This window comes from Homo sapiens, chromosome 19, assembly GCF_000001405.40.
Source record: "Homo sapiens chromosome 19, GRCh38.p14 Primary Assembly".
In the NCBI taxonomy this organism is placed as follows: domain Eukaryota; kingdom Metazoa; phylum Chordata; class Mammalia; order Primates; family Hominidae; genus Homo; species Homo sapiens.
Genome location: NC_000019.10, coordinates 29,562,133 through 29,581,629, shown reverse-complemented (window position 1 = coordinate 29,581,629; position 19,497 = coordinate 29,562,133). Strand labels below are relative to the sequence as shown.

At 49.7% G+C, this 19,497-nt stretch overlaps 1 protein-coding gene across 8 annotated transcripts in view, besides 3 other annotated features; it reads right to left on the bottom strand.

Annotated features, from left to right (window-relative positions):
• Window positions 12,624-13,124: an enhancer, noted in NCBI's record as "H3K4me1 hESC enhancer chr19:30059413-30059913 (GRCh37/hg19 assembly coordinates)". NCBI's record gives its function as "activates a minimal SCP1, AML or CMV promoter by ChIP-STARR-seq in naive H9 embryonic stem cells {active_cell/tissue: H9 hESC(naive)}" and the evidence as "EXISTENCE:reporter gene assay evidence [ECO:0000049][PMID:30033119]".
• Window positions 15,737-16,585: an enhancer, noted in NCBI's record as "H3K4me1 hESC enhancer chr19:30055952-30056800 (GRCh37/hg19 assembly coordinates)". NCBI's record gives its function as "activates a minimal SCP1, AML or CMV promoter by ChIP-STARR-seq in naive H9 embryonic stem cells {active_cell/tissue: H9 hESC(naive)}" and the evidence as "EXISTENCE:reporter gene assay evidence [ECO:0000049][PMID:30033119]".
• Window positions 17,079-19,497, bottom strand: part of VSTM2B (V-set and transmembrane domain containing 2B) — a 39,134-nt gene continuing 36,715 nt past the window's right edge. For all 8 annotated transcript variants that reach the window (XM_011526902.3, XM_011526903.3, NM_001384641.1 and 5 more), the window contains one exon: window positions 17,079-17,784. In XM_011526902.3, coding sequence (XP_011525204.1) covers window positions 17,696-17,784 — 89 coding nt within the window. In that variant the 3' untranslated portion in view covers window positions 17,079-17,695. The remainder of the gene's footprint in view (window positions 17,785-19,497) is intronic.
• Window positions 18,490-18,990: an enhancer, noted in NCBI's record as "H3K4me1 hESC enhancer chr19:30053547-30054047 (GRCh37/hg19 assembly coordinates)". NCBI's record gives its function as "activates a minimal SCP1, AML or CMV promoter by ChIP-STARR-seq in naive H9 embryonic stem cells {active_cell/tissue: H9 hESC(naive)}" and the evidence as "EXISTENCE:reporter gene assay evidence [ECO:0000049][PMID:30033119]".

Below are 19,497 nucleotides of genomic sequence, written 5' to 3'. Positions count from 1 at the left end.
CAGCTTTCAATAATGACAGACAGCAGTGGGAGTATCAATACCCCACCTCCCTCATCCCTTGGGTAGGACAGCTCTGAGGTGTGTTTTGCAATCTCCCCCAGGATTGGAGTTCCCCAGTTGGATTCCCCAGTAGGATTAGTTCCAGTCTCCCCAGTGTTCCTGATATGGTTTGGCTGTGTCCCCACTCAAATCTCCCCTTGAATTGTAATAATCCCCACATGTCAAGGGCAGGCCAGGTGGAGATAATTGAATCATGGGGGCGATCCCCCATACTGTTCTTATGGTAGTGAATAAGTCTCACAATATCTGATGATTATATAAATAGGAGTTCCACTGCACACACTCTCTTGCTTGCCACCATGTAAGAGATAACTTTCCTTCTCCTTGTCTTCCCCCATGATTGTGAGGCCTCCTGAGCCATGTGGAACCGTGAGTCCATTAAACCTCTTTCCTTTATAAATTACCCAGTCTCTGGTATGTCTTTATTAGCAGCGTAGGAACAGGTGAATACAGTTCCCCTGTTGGATTAGTTCTAATCTCCCGTAGTGGTAACTGGCCTGATAGCACACCCTTTTTAGGGTGTCTTCCCTTCCCTGTCTCACTTTCCCTCTACCCTGCAGATATTTCATGACTTCCCAAAGAGACTACTTTTGCTCAAATCCTAATCTCAGGATCTGCATCTGGGTCAACCCAAATTAAGAATTTCAGCAATCTGAGAGTATGGTGTGTGGGGCTTAACTACATTAACTAGAAATATGGAATTATCCAGGACATGCTATTTCTTGAGTCTGTTGGTTAACTGCTTAATGTAATATTATTTGTAGTAATTGCAAGTCAAAATGCTATGTGTTATTCCCAAAAGTTTAGTTATTTTAGCCAAATTGTGATTTGCTTGCCTTCTTTTGCTAGCAGCTCCTCAACTTCTCTCTGGGGAGCCCCACCTCCCACCCTCAGTCCTTAGCTCTAGTGTTAGGCTTATGACTCATGCCTGGCCAAGAAGAGCACCATGTCTCCCTGACCACCGTGAATGGCTCCGTGTGGCACACAACCCAAGCCAGACCAATGGACCCATTCCACTAGCTGCTAAATTAGGAATATGTGAGGCAGGAGCCCTTGGAGTCAAGACATGGAGAGGAGCCTGCCTTGCAGCCAGGTCAGTCCAAGGAAGGCAGAACCAAGAGACAGGAGAAGAATTGGGCCTGATAATGCTTGCACCCTGGGTCCAGCCATGCCTGCACTTTGTAGTCACATGAGTTGTTTTTCTATTACTCGCGATTGAACCAGTCCTGACCATGCTGCTGAATTGAGGAGGGGGGTTCTCTGGGTGGAGGTCAGGGATGCAGAATTCTCTTCTCAGAAGTTGCTTCCCTAATGAGGGTTGCAAGCTACTTTGCGAGCGTGGATGCCCAGAAGAAGACTCTTGGCTCCGGAGCCAGGCCTACATCCAAGATTAACCTCCGTGAAGACCACAGGCACATTCTGGGTCCCAATTCTGGCTCTGGATAGTGTTGGGAAACTTGCTTTTCCAGAAGGCAGCTGTGCAGAGGGTGGGCCAAAACATAGGGTACAGTGGCCGTGTGAAGTGCTGAGTACCTGATGCATGGCTGTGTTGCTTCTGCATTGGCAGGATTCCCCTTAGAAGGTGGTCCCCGGAACACAGTGCCATGTGGCCCCCCAGGGCCCCCATATGCCTGTTTCTGAGGCTCTGAGTAAAGGGACATATGGACCTCCACCACCTGGCAGCCTCACAGCAGGCACTGTAGCATTCAGTTTGTAGGGTCACCGGTAAGATGGTGCTGCTGCCCTAAATGGTCCCTGACCCAGGCCTGGGGTGCCTTGTGCAGAGACCTTGGCCACTTGCAGACTGATAGCAAGAAGGGAAGGTCTCTGAAGGGCCACACTGGCTGCAGCCACAAAGAGCAGTTGGAATAGGGAAGGCTGGTACCTGTGGCAATCGAGATCACAAACAGGACAGGACAAGAGCAGATGGAGACCAGGGAGGGGAAAGCACATTATGATGAGTGCAGATCAGGGTCTCTGCAGATCAGGATCCATCTTGAAAGAAGGCAGAAGACACCACGACTGCAGGGGGTGAGATTTACGGGAGGCTGGGGGCGCAGGGTAAATAGCTGAGGACTCTGGGGACTGGGCAAGTGGGACAGATGACAGACCACTTTGACGTGGCCAGTTGATGTGGTCAAGGCAAAAGTACTGTGTCCAGATGTAGAATTACCATTTATAATTTATCAGTGATGTTCCCATCACCATCCCTGGCAGATGATGGGGTGAGGCTTAGGGCTGGGGTCTGATTTGATCTGATTTGCTCACTACTTGGTGAAAGTAATTGCTTGGCTGAACATTTAATGGTTTGGTTTGTAGGCTTTGTTAAATGTCCCGGTGTAAAAAAAGCCTCATCAAAATGTCAGTGACAACTCACCCCTTATCATATCTCAACAAGCAAGAAGGCTTCCTTTTAATCTTTGCAGTTAAGCAAACAGATTTCTCTCATTGGAAGGAAGGAGGGGTGGGTGGCTTCCTTGGTGAGATGAAGAGGGGTGAGTATGTCCTCCTTGCCCAATCTGGAATGCTCTGCTACTCAACGTATGGGTCCTGTACAGCCACATCAGCAGCCTCCGAGAGTTTGCTAGAAATGCAGACCCTCAGGCCTTACCCTAGGCCCAGTGAAGCAAGACCTGCTTTTTAATAAGGTCTTCCTGTGATTCGTATGCATGGAGACTGTTGAAAAGTGCTGCTGTGGTGAACATCCTTTAGAGCATCTTCCCAGATCCCGGTGGCTCTCTGTTCCCTCCAACAGTGGGGGTGAGGCTGGTAGTCCTAGGGGTTGGGGCTGGCAGTCCTAGGGGTTGGGGCTGGCAGTCTCACTGGATAACTCCTCGTGCCTTGTCATCGTTGGCTGAATGAATTAAGGGTGGTTGTCTGACCCGAGCTGTGCCAATCTGAGTGCTTCTCTGGGAATTTGAATTAGGACTCTCTCTCTCTCTCTCTCTCTGTATGCATGAGAGAGACAGAGAGAGAGAGAGAAAGAGAGAGAAATGGAGGAAAGGAAGGGAGGGAGAGAGGGAGGGAGGGAGGAAGAGAGAGAGAGAAAGAGAGAGAAAGTGGGAGAAAGAGGTGAACGCCCTTTCTTTGGGTAGCTGCAAGTATCACGAATATTTGGGAGTGGGTCATTTTTCACCAGCTGCGCGGCCCTAAGTGAAGGAAGCCGGTAGGTAGAGAGAGGGGCATGAAGCAGATGTGTTAGACACTGGGTAGTGATGGTGTCTTAGTCCATCCAGGCTGCTATAACAAAATCCCATAGGCTGCATGGCTTATAAACAACAGAAATTTATTTCTCACCATTCTAGAGGCTGGGAAGTCCAAGATGGAGGCACCAGCAGATTTGGTGTCTGGTGAGGGCTTCCTGGTTCATGGACAGTGCTTTCTATTTGTGTCCTTGATGGAAAGAGTGAGGGTCCCTCTGGGGTCTCTTTTATAAGGACACTAATTCCATAGAGCCTTCATGACATAATGACCTCCCAAAGGCCCTCACCTTCTTGTACCATCATTTTGAGGGTTAGGATTTCAACATATGAATATTGGGAGGACATAAACATTCAGATCATAACCCCACCCTGACGCGCAGGTGAAATTCCACACTTGGGTTCCATGAAGCTCCCCCATATACTGATATACTACCCTGGCTAGCCTAGGCTGGCTTGAGCTGGCTCTGTCACTGCAGCTAACCATGTCAGCTGGGGATCTGGGTGGCACCCACAGAACCTGCCCCGTTCCCTTCCACTGGGGAGAATCTCTTGGTGGTGGTAGTGGAAAGGGGTGTCAGGAGCTCAGGGGAGGTAGGCGGCACCAAGGGAGCTGGGTGGCACCAAGGGAGCTGGGTGGGCCAGGCAGGAGAAGCCACAGCCAGGGCCATACAGCAGAGACAGTTCAGCAAACCAAGCCCCTGTCCCTGGGGACCGGCAGCGAGCTGCTCCCCTCATCCTTGCTCCCCTCCAGGGGAAACTGGTGGCTCGGGCATGAGTCAGTTCTTGTCGCAGAGGTGGCCTCGGGGATGGGGAAGTGAGCATCTGGCCACTTTGGTTCCCTCCTGGATCTGCCTCCCTCAAATCTGTGCACAACAAGAGCATGGTAATTCCCCAAGGAAACACCGAGTCTATGCCCCAGTGAGGGAAATGGATGCTGGTATCACACATCTGCACAGTCTGTGTTCTCATCAGAGCCTGGGGCAAGGACAGAGGGGGAAGTCATTTATTTGGGGGTCAGTCTAGAAAGTGGGAGAGAAGGAGCAGAGAGTGTGAGTCTGGAAGAAGAAAAAGCCAAGAAAGGATGTGCTATGGAGCTTGCTGCTTGGGCAACAGGGGTGTGGCTGTACACTGAGGAGCAGGCACAACGCCTTCCGGAAGGACCTGCCTGCGGACAGGGAGATGCAGACATTCACCTGTGGGACCCTCCAGGAGCCATCCAACTGCAGTGTGCTTCCGCAGAGCCTGATCTTGAGCCAAACAGGCAACATGGCTTAGAGGAAGCCCTGGAGGGAAAATCAGAGAGGCGCGGGTTTCCCCCTTGAGTATCTCTTTCTCCTGTACAGGAGCCTGGGTCAATCCTAGAAGCTTCCACCCCAGCAGGGGTTGAAGTCGGGGAGGGCTGCGGGAATGTCATGCATGGTGCAAAAAGATTCTGCTATAGTCAGGATACAGCTAAAGTTCACATCTCTAGCCCTGAAAGCCTGAGTAAGCCAGGTTGTGGGAAGATAGTAGACGCCTCCACATTGGAGTGGCTGAATCATCTCGAGGGTCATTTGCATATGATCTTACAGTGAAAATTCCCCTTTTCATCTTTACCAGTGACATACATTGGGAAACGGAGAACTTCACAGCAACAAGCAGGGACAAAATCTCAACTTTCTCTCTGGCTTTTATGGATTTCTATTTTGTAGAAAATGTACACTGTAGCATGCCAAACTCTGTACACCTCTCTAATAAATAAAAACCAACAGCTAAAATATTTCCTGCTTGATGGATCATTTTCTTAGTCCCCGCCTCATAAAATTTGGGGGGGAAATGGCAAATTTCTCATTTATTTGACTGATTTTAGTTTTCTGACACCGTCAACAAATGCAACCCATGGCTCTCTCTGACTATTCATTTGCAAAACGTCCACCCAGCCCTGTTTCTGTTGTCTCGGGTGAGTCTCTGTGCACAGAGCAGCCCGGCTTTGGCAAGGCTAAGAGCTGACGTTTCTCTAGTTTCATTTGCCCAGAGTTTTCCTTGTTATTTTTGATTTGTGGTGTGGCTGGCTTACCCCACACATCTGTCTCCATCATGACAGGTGCCCTCTGATTCACGCGGTGCAGCCCATCTCTCCCAGGCACCGCCTGCTGGAGCTGCTCAGGATGCACCACTCTCCAGGGCTGACTCAACTTTCTGCATATGCTGCCTGTCACAATCCTGTCCCGAGGTTTATCCACGCTCTTGAGTGGGCTCCGAGACTCCCACACGGGCTGCCTGTGGCTCAGATACCCCAAGACTCACTGGCTCTTGTTTCTGAGGCTCTCACGCCTCAGAATGAGATGCAATGAGGCTGCCACTTCTGGTGACAGCCGCTGGCGAGGAAGGATTGACTTTTGCCCAAACGACAGTGGCTCTGGTTGTAGGGGAGATCCAGCTGTCTGTGTCTAATAAGACTCTCCGAGCATCAGGGAGAGACGAGGAGGCCTCTTAAGACCCAGCTCAAATGCTACTTGAGCTCATTTCCACAAACATTTGATAAGTCCCTGCTATCTCCCCCACCCCCACCCATTACAATGAATTGTTTCCCTTCCTGAGTCCCTTGCTAAGATCCCTACTGTGGGTCTCACAGTCCAGCTTGTATTCCACTTAGCTGTGGAGGTGTTGATTCTTCTTACCAGACCACCAGCTCCCTTACCGGGGGTTAGGGGGTGATCCTTGCATACTTTATCTGTTTCTCCCATACAGGGCTGTTTATGGAGTAGTGATCAATGTGTGTTTGCTGAATGAATAAACGTAGTTAATGTCCAGGTGCTGCAGAGCTTTGGAGGTCCATGGTCCCAGAGGCACCCCACATTTCCAGCCTCTCCTTCCCCTGAGTCCTGGTTGCCACCAGGACAACTCTTGGTGGGCCATCTCTTGGTGTAGTGGGTGTGGTAGGGGACCACAGAGGTGCCTCAAGCTCCCCACCCAAGTGATGTACTCAGAGCCCCCATGCTCAGTTATCGAAGAATGAGGACTAAATAGCATGTTCCTGGAGAGCCTCTTTTTACACAGCAAATGTTCTTCTGAAAACAGGTGGAGAGTTACATCTTTATAAATTGAAGCTTACATTTTTTGGGGGGTGGAATTGTCTTTTGTTAAATTAAAAATACTTTACTGCTTTTATCTTATTACAGAAGTAATAATCACAGAGAAGCCAGACCGCAGTCAGACATTAAAGTATCTACAATACTACTTACATAGAAACATAAACTTTTAACACCTTGGTGTCTAACCTTCTAAATCATTATTCATATGTATGTGTGTGCTTCTCTTTCTCTGTATAATAAAATTGGGATTCAGATCCTATTTTAAACATGCTATAGGAGCTTGCTATTTAAAGGCATTCTGAAGTGAATCCTTTTGAAATGTGAATAATTCCTTGGGATTTATTTGTGCTGTTGGTTCAGGCAAAATCCAGAAGTCATAAAGTGTTTATGGGTGGGGGAGGCGGGTAAGGGATGTCTGATAATCTTTGAACATTTGTCTGTCTCTGCCTCTATATCCATTTATCCATCCATCCGTCCATCTATCCATCCATCCATCCATCCATCCTCTATTAGCCTATCATATATTTCCTAATTGAGTGTTGAGAGATTGACATACAGACAGGCAGGAAAGCCAGGGCTGGGTTGATTGAGTGCCCTCCTCAGGGAGCCTCACATGCGCAGTGCCACATATTTATGGCATTCCCCAAGGACTGGATTACATGGCAAAAGATTAACATCCCTGCTGCACAAATTAAAAATGCTCTATTATTTGCAGCATGGAGAGGACTAGCTGAAGATCAGCATCTTCTCTTTGAGCAACTTAATTGAATGTCTCTCAGCCTGAACCCCTCGCTGTATTGATTTGAATTAATTATTTGTGCATTTGTAATCTCCTGTTTTCCCCAGCCCAGGAGTGCCCCACATCGCAAGGCTGCATGTCTGCCTCCTCCCAAGCCGTCTTCCCTAGTCTGGAAGCCTTTGACAGTTCTAAGGACAATTAATCAGTCAAATGGAATCAGTTTTTGCTGATAAAGGAGAGCCTTCCTTGTAAAACTGACATCCCATTTTATGGGAATTAACGTTTTGAAAAGTGACCGTGGTCTGTCTTAGTTAAAAGCACCAATTCATTAGGGCACAGTTTGGAGAAACCATGGCAGGTGGAGGTGCAGGGGCGGGGAGCAAAATTTTACCATCAAAGGGCTTAGAAATGAGTCCGTGAAGGAGGCTTAAACAATAATGGCCACGTCTTTTGGTATTTAGGGAGTAGAAAGATGTCTGGTCACAAACAGGGAGTTAATCGGTTATGCAGATAAGAGTATGTTAGTAGATTGTGTTTTAGACACACAGCAGACCTTCTTTCAAAGCAAAACCAGAACATTTTGTATACTATAATTTACCAAAATAAAAAAGCACAGAAAAATCTTGCACAGAAAAAGAAAGCGCAGGTTATCTGCAATCTAATTTAACTTCTTTGTGGTGTTCTTAAATAAAAAACTGGATACATGTTATTCGAAAACATCAATTACCGCTTCAGGAATGGGATTCTGGTTAACCCTAAAACTTCTTTTGCTTCAGCTCTCTTTGAGAAACACTCTGAATGGCGGCAATGTTTTCTGGCCCCGTGAGGCCGGTACAGTGACCACAGCTGGCCGAGGCTGCAGAGGGTGAAGGCAGAGTAGAGCCAGGGAAGGACCTCCTGGAGTATCATGGGGGCAGCTGTTACTTGGCACCCACCAGTTGTCACCACATAGGAATATGGGCCCCGTGTGGCTGCATATTATATTTTTTTCAGGAGAAGCCAGAAATTTGGGTTTTTAAAACAAATTTTAAGTATATGTGTGTGTTTGTTACATAGGCATATAGTGTAATGGTTGGGATTGAGCTTCTAGCAAACCCACCTCCCGAACAGTGAACACTCTACCTGATAGGTAATTTTTCAACCCTCACTTCCCTCCCATTCTCCTGGCTTTTGGAGTCCCTAGTGTCTGTCATTCTCATCATGTCGTTATGTATGTACCCACTGTTTAGCTCTCTAATCAGTGAGAACATGTGGTATTTGATTTTCTGTTTCTGAATTAGTTCACTTAGAATAATGGTCCCTAGCTCCATCCATGTTGCTGCAGAGGACAGGAGAAATTTGGATGTTTACATGAGACTTTCCGATATTGTAAAATAACAAGAAACATCCCTGTGAACGTCAAACATAGCATGTCTGCAGCCAGATGCAGCTTGAGAAGTGCTAGTTTGCAACCTCTGGGTGGGAGATGGAGTTAGATGTGAATTTGTCTTGGGGACTGTGGAAAAGAAAAGTTGGTACTTTGTTTTTGTTTTAATATAAGTCCTGGATAGGACTGTATCATTTTTTCCTCTCCCCTCTCCCCTTTTTTTTTGAGACAGAGTTTCGCTCTTGGCCCCCTGGCTGGAGTGCAATGATGTGATCTTGGCTCACTGTAACCTCCGCCTCCTGGGTTCAAGTGATTCTGCTGCCTCAGCCTTCCGAGTAGCTGGGATTACAGGCACCCGCCACCACGTCCAGCTAATTTTTGTATTTTTAGTAGAGATAGGGTTTCAACATATTGGCTAAGCTGGTCTCGAACTCCTGGCCTCAACTAATCCACCTACCTTGGCCTCTCAAAGTGCTGGGATTACAGGAATGAGCCACCGCACCTGGCCATTCATTCATTTTTGATAACACGAGATGTACCCTAACCCATCACTCAGTTTGAAAACTAAGAGTTTGATGACGACCTTCATCCACTTGTGGGCTCCTTATACCTCTGCTTCCCCATACCAAGGTAACCACGATCCTGTATCCATCTTCACCTTTCCATTGCTTTCCTTTGAAGACAGTTTTATCTTAGCTACGTGTTTTCTTAAGAAGTCTATCTGTCCATCCATCCATCCATCCTCCCTCTATCTGTTGGTTTTAGTTTGGATTTAACTTTATGACAAAGGTATTATACTGTATGTCATCTTCAGGGCTTTTTTCTTTTTTCTTTTCTTTTTTTTTTTTTGAGACATGGTCTCACTAGGTTGCTCAGGCTGGAGTGCAGTGGTGCTATCAAGTCAAAGCTCACGGCAGCCTTGACTTCCCTGGCTTAAGTAATCCTCCCACGTCAGCCTCCCACATGCTACCACACCTGGCTACATTTTTAAAATTTTTAATAGAGACAGAGTCTCTCTATGTTTCCCAGGCTGGTCTTGAACTCCTGGGCTCAAACGATCCTCCTACCTCAGCCTCCCAAACTGCTGGGATTACAGACGTGAGCACTCTGCCCTTTTTGGGGGTTTTCCCCACTAATAGATGCTAAGACTCAGTGTTTTGTTGCATGTTCCTTGCAGTTCATTCACGTTGACCCTTGATGGAGTAGCTGGTGTCGTGTTCATATCATTGTGAGAACTGTCTACAGCATCTGCATCATCTCTCCTATAGATGGGAACTCATCTGTTTCCAGGGTATTGAATGGGGCTGCCTTGAAGGTTTTTTTTTTTTTAATGTTCCCCAGAGCACAAGAGAAAGAGATTTTGCTACTAAGGATTGGAATCTCTGGGTCGCAGTATGTGAATGTTCACTTTTAACAGTTAGTGCCAAAGTGTTTTCCAGTGAGGTTGTATCGATTTACACTCCCACAGTCACCCACAGTCAATGCTTAGGTGATCTTGGAGATGGACAACTTCTCTAACACTTGGTATGTCAGAATCTTATTTATTTTTAGTTTTTTAGAGATACGGTCCAACTCTGTAACTCAGGCTGGAGTGCAGTGGCGTGACTACAGCTCACTGCTACCTTGAACTCCTGGGCTCAAGCGATCCTCCTGTCTCACCTTCCTGAGTAGCTGGTACTACAGGCTTGCCATCATGCATGGCTATCTTTAATTTTTTTTTGCAAAGACGGTAATATGGTTTGGATGTTGGTCCCCTCCAAATCTCATGTTGAAATGTGATCCCCAGTGTTGGAGTTGGGGCCCGGTGGGAGGTGTTTGGGTCATGGGGCGGATCCCTCATGAATGATTTCATGCCATCCCTTTGGTGTTGAGTGAGCTCTCCTTCAGTTAGTTCACTTGAGATCTGGTTGTTTTAAGAGTGTGGCACCCATCCCCTCCTCGTCTCTCTCCTCACGGCTCTCCCCTCCCTGGCTCTCACTTCACCTTCCACCACAAGTGAAATCTTTCTGAGACCTCACCAGAAGCCAAGCAGATGCCAGAATCATGCTTCCTGTAAAGCTTGCAGAACCATGAGCCAAATAAACCTCTTTGCTTTATAATTTACCCAGACTCAGGTATTTCTTTACAGCAATGCAGTAACAATGGACTAACACAGATGAGGTCTTGCTGTCATGCTAATACAGGGTCTGGAACTCCTGGCTTCACGTGACCCTCCTGCCTTGGTCTCCCACAGTGCTGAGATTACAGGCATGAACCACGGCACCCGGCCTTTGTCAGACTTAAATTTTTGATAATTAAGTGGGCATAATCACTGTGGCCTTGATTTGCATTTCTCTTGTAACTATTGAGGCTGAAAACCTTTTATATTTTTTTCTGGCCATATTTTCTCTCCCATGATATGGTGGTTCACATCCTTGGTCCATCTTCCCATTGTACTTTTTGTGCATTTCTTTTTTTTTTTTTTTTTTTTTTTGAGATGGAGTCAACTTGCTCTGTCGCCCAGGCTGGAGTGCAGTGGCTCGATCTCGGCTCACTGCAACCTCCGTCTCCTGGGTTCAAGCGATTCTCCTGCCTCCGCCTCCCGAGTAGCTGGGATTACAGGCATGTGCCACCAGACCTGGCTAATTTTCGTATTTTTAGTAGAGACGGGGTTTCACCATCTTTGCCAGGATGGTCTCGAACTCCTGACCTCAGGTGATCCACCTGCCTCGCCTGTGTGAGCCACCATGCCCAGCCTGTTTTTGCTTTTCTTATTGATTTCTAGGAATTCTTTGTACATGTTTGATAGTAATCCTTTCTTGGGTGTATTTTGTAAGTCTCTTTTCACTTTCTTTGTGATGGTTTTTGGTAAACGAGTGCTCTTTGTTATAATGTAGTCAAAATTGTCTATATTTTCTTTCTTTCTTTCTTTCTTTTTTTTTTTTGAGACAGAGTCTTGCTCTGTCACCCAGGCTGGAGTGCAGTGGCACAGTATCAGCTCACTGCAACCTCTGGCTCCCAGGTTCAAGCAATTCTCCTGCCTCAGCCTCTGGAGTAGCTGGGACTACAGGTGCGCACCACCACACTGGGCTAATTTTTGTATTTTCAGTAGAGATGGGATTTTACCATGTTGGCCAGGCTGGTCTTGAACTCCTGACCTCATGATCCACCCACCTCGGCCTCCCAAAGTGCTAGGATTACAGGCATGAGTCACCATGCCCGGTCCATATTTTCTTTTATAATTACCGCTTTTTCAGTCTCATTTAAAAAATCTTTTCTAACTTCAAAATCTAAACGAGACCATATATGCTTTCTACTAAGAGTCCACTTACCATTTCTCCCTTTTAAACAATCAGGTACAGGGAACACATGTGATCTTTGTTGGGTCTTTGCTAGTTGGTGGCAAGTTAGGCTTGGTGTGAAGTCATGTTTTCTGTGACTTGAAATATATTTTTGGTGCTCCTTGGGTCTTTGTCATTTAAAAGGGGTCACCCCTGGTGGTGTTTCCAGACTCTACCTCATGTTGTGTCTGCAGCCACAAAGTGGGGCAGGTCCCTCATAAAGGTCGTGGGTTTTCCATGTGTTTCTAGGGCCCCTGGCATGAGGTAAAAGGTGTATTTATGCTGTGGTAGGGTGTGCAGGCTCTTCTTGGCTGATGAAGGCAGGGAGCCCTGAGGGGCAGCAGCTCCATTCTGGGGAGACCGGGCGCCCAGTTGGCTGAGGTTTCACCAGTGCTGCACCACTCCTGCTGCTGCAGCCTTAGTGAGAAGGAAAGAAATGGTGTTCTAAAGCAGCAGGCTGCTACATACAGGTGTGTGCATGCATATAGGGGCAAATGCATCAAAGCCTCTGGCCACCTGTCCCCCAGGAAAAGCAGGAGTTGCATCCTCTGAAATGCAGGCAAAATGAATGCCCAGTGTCACCCAAAGTGGGGATGGGCCCACTGGAAGAAGCAGTGCAAAAATAGGCAAGAACTCGCCGGGTGCAGTGCCTCACACCTGTAATCCCAACTCTGGGAGGCCGAGGTGGGTAGATTACGTGAGGTCAGGAGTTTGAGACCAGCCTGGCCAACATGGTGAAACACTGTCTCTACTAAAAATACAAAAAAATTTAGCCGGGTGTGTTGGCGGGTGCCTGTAGTCCCAGTTATTTGGGAGGCCAAGGCAAGAGAATTGCTTGAACCCAGAGGCAGAGGTTGCAGTGAGCCGAGATCACGCCACTGTACTCCAACCTGGGCGACAGAGTGAGACTCCATCTCAAAAAAAAAAAAAAACAAAACAAAAAAACTGTTCCCCTGGCTGGCAGGGGCAGAAGTCCCTTTAGCCAGGAGCTCAGCAGCTCACAAATGGCTGTTTGCTGTATTCCAACCAACGGCAGGCTTGGATCCGACAGAGCTGTTGTTTTCTGAGCCAGAGCTGTAACCAGGAGTGTGGGGTTGAAACAGAACTGAAACTCAGAATGCTGCAGCTCTGCTCATACCACCTCCTGTCAAATTCTGGGAATTCCTGTCCTTCCTTCCAGGCTATGCCCCTAAATGTTGGCCGCTGCCTGGAGGGCGCAGGTGGGTCAGCACCACATGAGGGGCTAGAATCAGGGACAATCCTCATCACCAGGCAGAGCAGGGCTCCTCCACAGGGGTCTGGGCTTGGCTCGGTCTCCACGTGCCCCTACCCTGGCTGCCCTCCTTCTCTTCCCTGCTGTCACTCAGCTCTGGGCTGGGGTGGAGTTTGCACTCCCTCTGGACTCCTGTCCCTCACTTTGGATTTAGTTGCTACACAGACCCACAGCTCCACAGTCCCTTCAAGCAGGCGGGGGTCCTGTCAGCCTGCACCCGAGCTCCCGAGGCCGCCCACAGTGCATTCTTCCCAAACTGAAATAAATTGTCTTGCTCTCCAACCCCAGCCCATGTCTGCCGAGGCTGAAAGCAAACTCCAAAGGGAAAGGCAGTTTTGGGAGTGAGCACCACGCCACGGTTTTTGTTTCTGGAGGGCGCTTCTCTCTTCTGGTTTGTATGCATTCCATAAAACACAGTGCAGGCTAAGTGTTCTTTGTCCTCATTCTCGGAGTGCGTGAGACCCCAGAAAACAGGAGCCCAGACCCCATGGATCGGCACTGCGGATACTTAGGGGTGCACTTAACTTCTCCTTTCTTTGTGTCCGGGGCCCTGGACCAGTGGGAATGCTGGTAGCCACTCCATGGAAGCCTGGGTCCAGAGATTTGCCTTGGCTTCCAGCCCCACGACAGCCCCAGTCTCAGTTCCATTAACTTCTGCTGGAGGCCGGGTTCAGCCTCCCCTTCAGGGAACATGCTTAGCCTCATGCTCGGCTTCCCACCTGGAAGTTCTCTGTCCCCAGGAGGCAGATATTAGGAATAATTTTCTGTGTTTGAGGGGAATCCTCTTTGTGCAGAAAAAGCTGGTTTCTCCAAAGCACACCTGTTCCTCTCACCAGGGCCCATCACACCAGCCCCTCCCCTGTGCCCATCACACAAGGCCACGCCCCTGTGCCCATCACAACTGCTCCTTCCTCTGTGACCATGACATCAGCCCCTCCCCTGTGCCCATCACACCAGCCCCTCCCCTGTGCCCATCACACCAGCTTCTCCCCTGTGCCTATCACAGAAGTCCCTCCCCTGTGCCCATCACACCAGCCCTTCCCCTATGCCCATCACACCTGCCCCTCTCCTGTGCCCATCACATCTGCCCCTCCCCTGTGCCCATCACACCAGCACCTCCCCTGTGCCCATCACACCAGCTTCTCCTCTGTGCCCATTACACCTGCCCCTCCCCTGTAGCCATTACACCTGCCCCCTCCCCTGTACCCATCACACCAGCCCCTACCCTGTGTCCATCACACCAGCCCCTCCCCTGTGCCCATCACACCTGTCCCCTCCACTGTAGCCATCACACCTGCCCCTCCCCTGTACCCATCTCACCTGCCCACTCCCCTGTGCCTATCACAGCAGTTCCTCCCCTGTGCCCATTACACCAGCCCCTCCCCTGTACCTATCACACCTGTCCCCTTCCCCATGCCATCACACATGACCCCCTTCCCTGTGCCTGTCACACCAGCCCCTCCCCTATGCCCATCACACCTGACCCTCCCCTGTGCCCATCACAGCAGTCCCTCCCCTGTGCCCATCACACCAGCCCCTCCTCTGTGCCCATCACACCAGCTTCTCTTCTGTGCCGATTACACCTGCCCTTCCCCTGTAGCCATTACACCTGCCCCCTCCCCTGTACCCATCACACCAGCCCCTCTCTGTGTCCATCACACCAGCACCTCCCCTGTGCCCATCACACCAGCCCCTCCCTTGTGCCCATCACACCACTTCTCCTCTGTGCTCATCACACCAGCCCCTCCCCTGTGCCCATCACACCAGCTTCTCCCCTGTGCCTATCACACCAGCCCCTTCCCTCCCCTGTGCCCATCACACCGGCTCCTCCCCGTGCCTATCACACCTGCCCCTCTCCTGTGCCCATCATAGCAGTCCCTTCCCTGTGCCCATTACACCAGCCCCTCCTCAGTGCCCATCACACCTGTCCCCTCTGCTGTAGGCATCACACCTGCCCCTCCCCTCTACCTATCTCACCTGCCCATTCCCCTGTGCCTATCACAGCAGTTCCTCCCCTGTGCCCATTACACCAGCCCCTCCCCTATGCCTATCACACCTGCCCCTCCTTTATGCTCCTCACACCAGCCCCTCCCCTGTGCCCATCACACTTGCCCACTCCCCTGTGCCCATCACACCAGCCCCTCCCGTGCCCATCACACCAGCTTCTCCACTGTGCCTATCACATCAGCCCCTCCCCTGTGCCCATCACACCTGCCCCCTCCCCTGTGCCCATCACACTTGCCCCCTCCACTGTGCCTATCAAACCTGCCCCTCCCCTGTACCCATCACACCTGTCCCCTCCCCTGTACCCATCACACCTGCCCCCTCCCCTGTGCCCATCACACCTGCCCCCTCCCCTGTGCCCATCACACCTGCCCCCTCCCCTGTGCCCATCAAACCTGCCCCTCCCCTGTACCCATCACACCTGCCCCTCCCCTGTGCCCATCACACCTGCCCCCTCCCCTGTGCCCATCACACCTGCCCCCTCCACTGTGCCCATCACACTTGCCCCTCCCCTGTGCATATCACGCTAAAGGTTGGGAGCTTCCAGGCTGGGACCTGACTACCTGTGTTTGTACAGAGGCATCTGGTTTTGGTGATGGGGAATGACTCCCCAGCCCTCCATCCCCTGGAACGATCTGGTACAACGTCACCCTTACTGACACATTGTCCCCGTTCCACTGGTATCTGGGAAGTACGGTTTGCTCTCCAGCACACTGGGCCAGTATTTCACATGACATTAGCTGCTGCAGTATTGAGTTAACTATAAAAAGAGATGATCCTTCTGGACAGAATCACTATCCACCAGACAGAGTGATTAAACTTACAGCTCAATTGGTGCTGATCAATATAAAGGAAATGTGAAACAAGTTAATGTACCCATCAGAAACAGCCGTCCCGACGTTCTCTCCACACAGGCCTCCCCTGACATCAGCTCCATCCTGGGGGTCTCTGTACACGTGGGACTGTCCAAATGCACAATTACTCCTCCCCTGAGCTAAATACAGTCAATCAACTACACACTGAGCCAATCAGGACAGGCTGGCTTATGCTGCGATAATGCCCGAAGATGAGTGGGTGAAGCGGCAATGGCAGACTTCTCATGGGGCCGCAGGATCCAGCGCTGGCCACAGGAAAGGCTGTGTTCATCGCAGTCACTCAGCGACCTAGGCTGGAAGAACACTTGCTGATGTGAACGCTGCGAGTCGTCACGTTAGAGGACAAGTGCTTTGGAGGGCGTCGCACTAGCAATCCTGTGTCTTGGACTAGAAGCAATGCGGATCCCTTCTATTCCCAGCTCATGCGCCAGAGCTGTGGCCCCACCCGCCACAGGAGGCCAGGAAGCGTTATCCTGCCCTGGGCCTGGCCAGCGGAGAACGGAAGTATTTGGTGAACAACATCAATGACAACCACACTTATTGAAACTGCAGGTGTTAAAATCTGGCTGGGTTTTAAACAAATCCATGGGCTCCAGCTATCTAATGAGATGCTGTCTTAGAATGAAGTATAAATAGTAGCCCCCACCCAGGGCATGCCCGTTTCCTTAGGGCATGTGTAACCTGCCCCAAATCTATGAGTTTCAGAGGCTCAAAGCAATCTTCAGATGCACGGGAAGGAGTGTGGCAAGCCCTACTTTCTCTCCAAATTCCCCCTTCAAACTAGCAGCAAAGCTAACCACAGTAAATACACCTTGACTTACAATCTCCAAGTGGGCGAATGAATTGCATGATTCATTGAAACGAAGTGGGGGAGGAGTGGTTCTTGACTTATTTCACACCTCCTCCTAGCGATCTCCTTTCCTTCAGGACCCAGGCTGGGGGATCGTCTCACTGCCGCCTCCATGAAGTGCCCTGTCCCTAGGGGAGGCTTGTCAGGTGCTCCCATCTGCTCAGCGTGGTCTTAGCCAGGTGCCCTGGGCTGTCCTCCACGCCGGGTGACACCCAGCCAAAAGTGCAGCTGGTGTCAGAGCACAGGAGGGAACGGCAGGCAGCCAGGCTGCAGTGGGCACCAACGCTTGACATTCATCCATGGCTGTAGAAAGGTTATTTCAAAGTTGTTTTTTATTCAACTGTTCTTCAGCAATATACAATACAGTTTATAAACAAGTGTCTGACCTTGTTTCCAATCTTTATTTAAAAATAAATATTATTGACAGTGAATTTTAATTATGATAAGATGTGTCTTTTTTAATCAAAATGCCTCAAAAGAAATAATTTAATAAAAAAGAAAAGCCCCCAAAGAAAAAAAGTAAATTAAAAAAAAATCCTAAACACAATAATCTACTAAAAATATTTTGCTTTGTCAAAAGGCTTTGACCCCAACATTTGTACATATTATCCTAAAGATAACTGCTCAACAGTTCGTGCAAAATGAAGACTTGGAGGGAAAGTGTAGAAAAGAAAACTACATTGAAGTAGAGAAATCATTGATTCCCATGCAGACTGCATGGGCCAAACTCCAAATTATTTGGAAACTAGATGCATTATTTTAGGTGTTCTACATTTGTGTAACTTTCCCAAAAATATGATTTATTTATTTTCCATGTGGACTTTTTCATGCGTCTCTCAGTCTCTCTGTGTCCATCCAGCGACATGGTCCTCACCGAGGGCCCCGGGCAGGTCATGTGCGGCCTCTGAGATGCTCGGGTTGGTCTTGTCTGTCAATGTCCCAAGAGCAGGCGCAGGAACTTATGCAGAGCTAACAGGAGCAGGGACAAGAGTGGGTCTGTGGTGTAGCTACGGCCGGTGCCTGCAGGGGATGAGAAAACAGGCAAGGTTAACACCTGAGTCTCAAGAACCTAGGAGCTCACAGCAGACCAGGAACAGTGAGGCTTCCCCAGGCTGGGGCCACTCACGCTTAGCACCCAGCTGGAGGCTGGTGCATAGTGGCTGCCTTGGTTTAATGATTAAGCATTTTGTTGCTGCAGTTTGTAATTTACAGACCATACACTTTAGGATCCTAGTGAGATCAGACACAAGCGCCTGGCCTGAAGTGGGGAGTGACAGCTCTAATGTCCAAGTCATTACCTTATTTTAATAAAAAGATGATATGAGCTGGGTGTGGTTGATTATGCCTGTAATCCCAACACTTTGGGAGGCTGAGGCTGGAGGATCACTTGAGCCCAGGAGCTTGAGACCAGCCTGGGCAACATAGTGAGACCCCATCACAACAAAAAATAAAAAATTAGCTGTGTGTGGTGGCATGCACCTGTATTCCCAGCTGCTCAGAAGGCTGGATCGCTTGAGACCAAGAGTTGGAGGCTGCAGAGAGCTGTGATTGCACCACTGCACTCCAGCCTGGGAGACAGAGTGAGACTCTGTCTCAAAAAAAGAAAAAAAAAAAAGACAATATGCTTCCTTCTCCCCAGATACATGAGGACAGAAATGTCCTCATCATTTCTGGCCCTGCTTGTCCTCTTCCTCCATGAAGGCTACACGATCCCACACAATTCTGTCCCTTGTGCATCCCGGCATCCCCTCCATGCCCCTGCCTAAACTGCACAGCTTCACACTCCCACGCACCCTGTCTGGGGCATCCTGATGTTGCTGTGTGTAAGTCTTTTTTCCACAGCAACCTTGTCTGTCCACTCTTTGGGTTGCAGTGTGGAGCTGAGAAATTGCAGGTTGGTGGAGATGAGTGGGCTGGGGTCTTTGAGAAATGACCCCAGCAACTTCTGGGTCACTCCCACCTGTCTCTCCAGTGTGATCATAACCTGGCCCCTGGCCTGCCATGGATGCTGTAACACCTCTGCCTCACCCTGCTTCGCCTTGGTCCCCCGCCTGGCTCCCCGTCGGTCCTTAGGGTCTTCACCTGTTTTAAGGCCTCCCGTGCAACTGGGGAAAGCCCACCCATAAACCCTGGGCTTCTCACCTGGAAAGTGGGATGCTCCCTCCAGGGTTATGAGAGGAGCAAGTGTGGAAGCACCCTGCACGATCCTTGGTGCTGCCAAAACCCCCGGGGGACGTCACTACTTGCTTAGAGTCAGCGGCATGAATGGATGCAGTTTTCAGCCCCGCCCTGCTCATCTGCACCATCCGGAGGCCTCTCTCCTCCCTTCTCTTGACCCCACCAGCTGGGCTGCAGCCCCGTGCCTGTGAGGAGGGGTGTGGGAGACCCTACCCTGTGTCAATTTTCAGTAGTGCAGAGGGCTCGGCTGCTTTCACTCCACCACTGCAGCCAGGATGGCTGGTTCCCTCCAGCCTTAATAAACAGAGACTTGAGGCTTCCCTGACAAGGCTGGGCCTGAATGCACAGCTCTCCTCTCTCCAGGTAGCAGCACACTTAGTCCTTCCTATCCAAGGCGTCTCCTGCTCCTTAATTCTCCCTGCTCTGGCCATAGCTGTCTGTGTCATGGAGTTCATGTCCTGGCCCCCATCATCCTCTTTTTGTAGAAGGAGGAGGTTGTACAAATCATCTGGCCTGAAAGTCCAGGATTCCACCTGACCACTGTGGGAAACACAG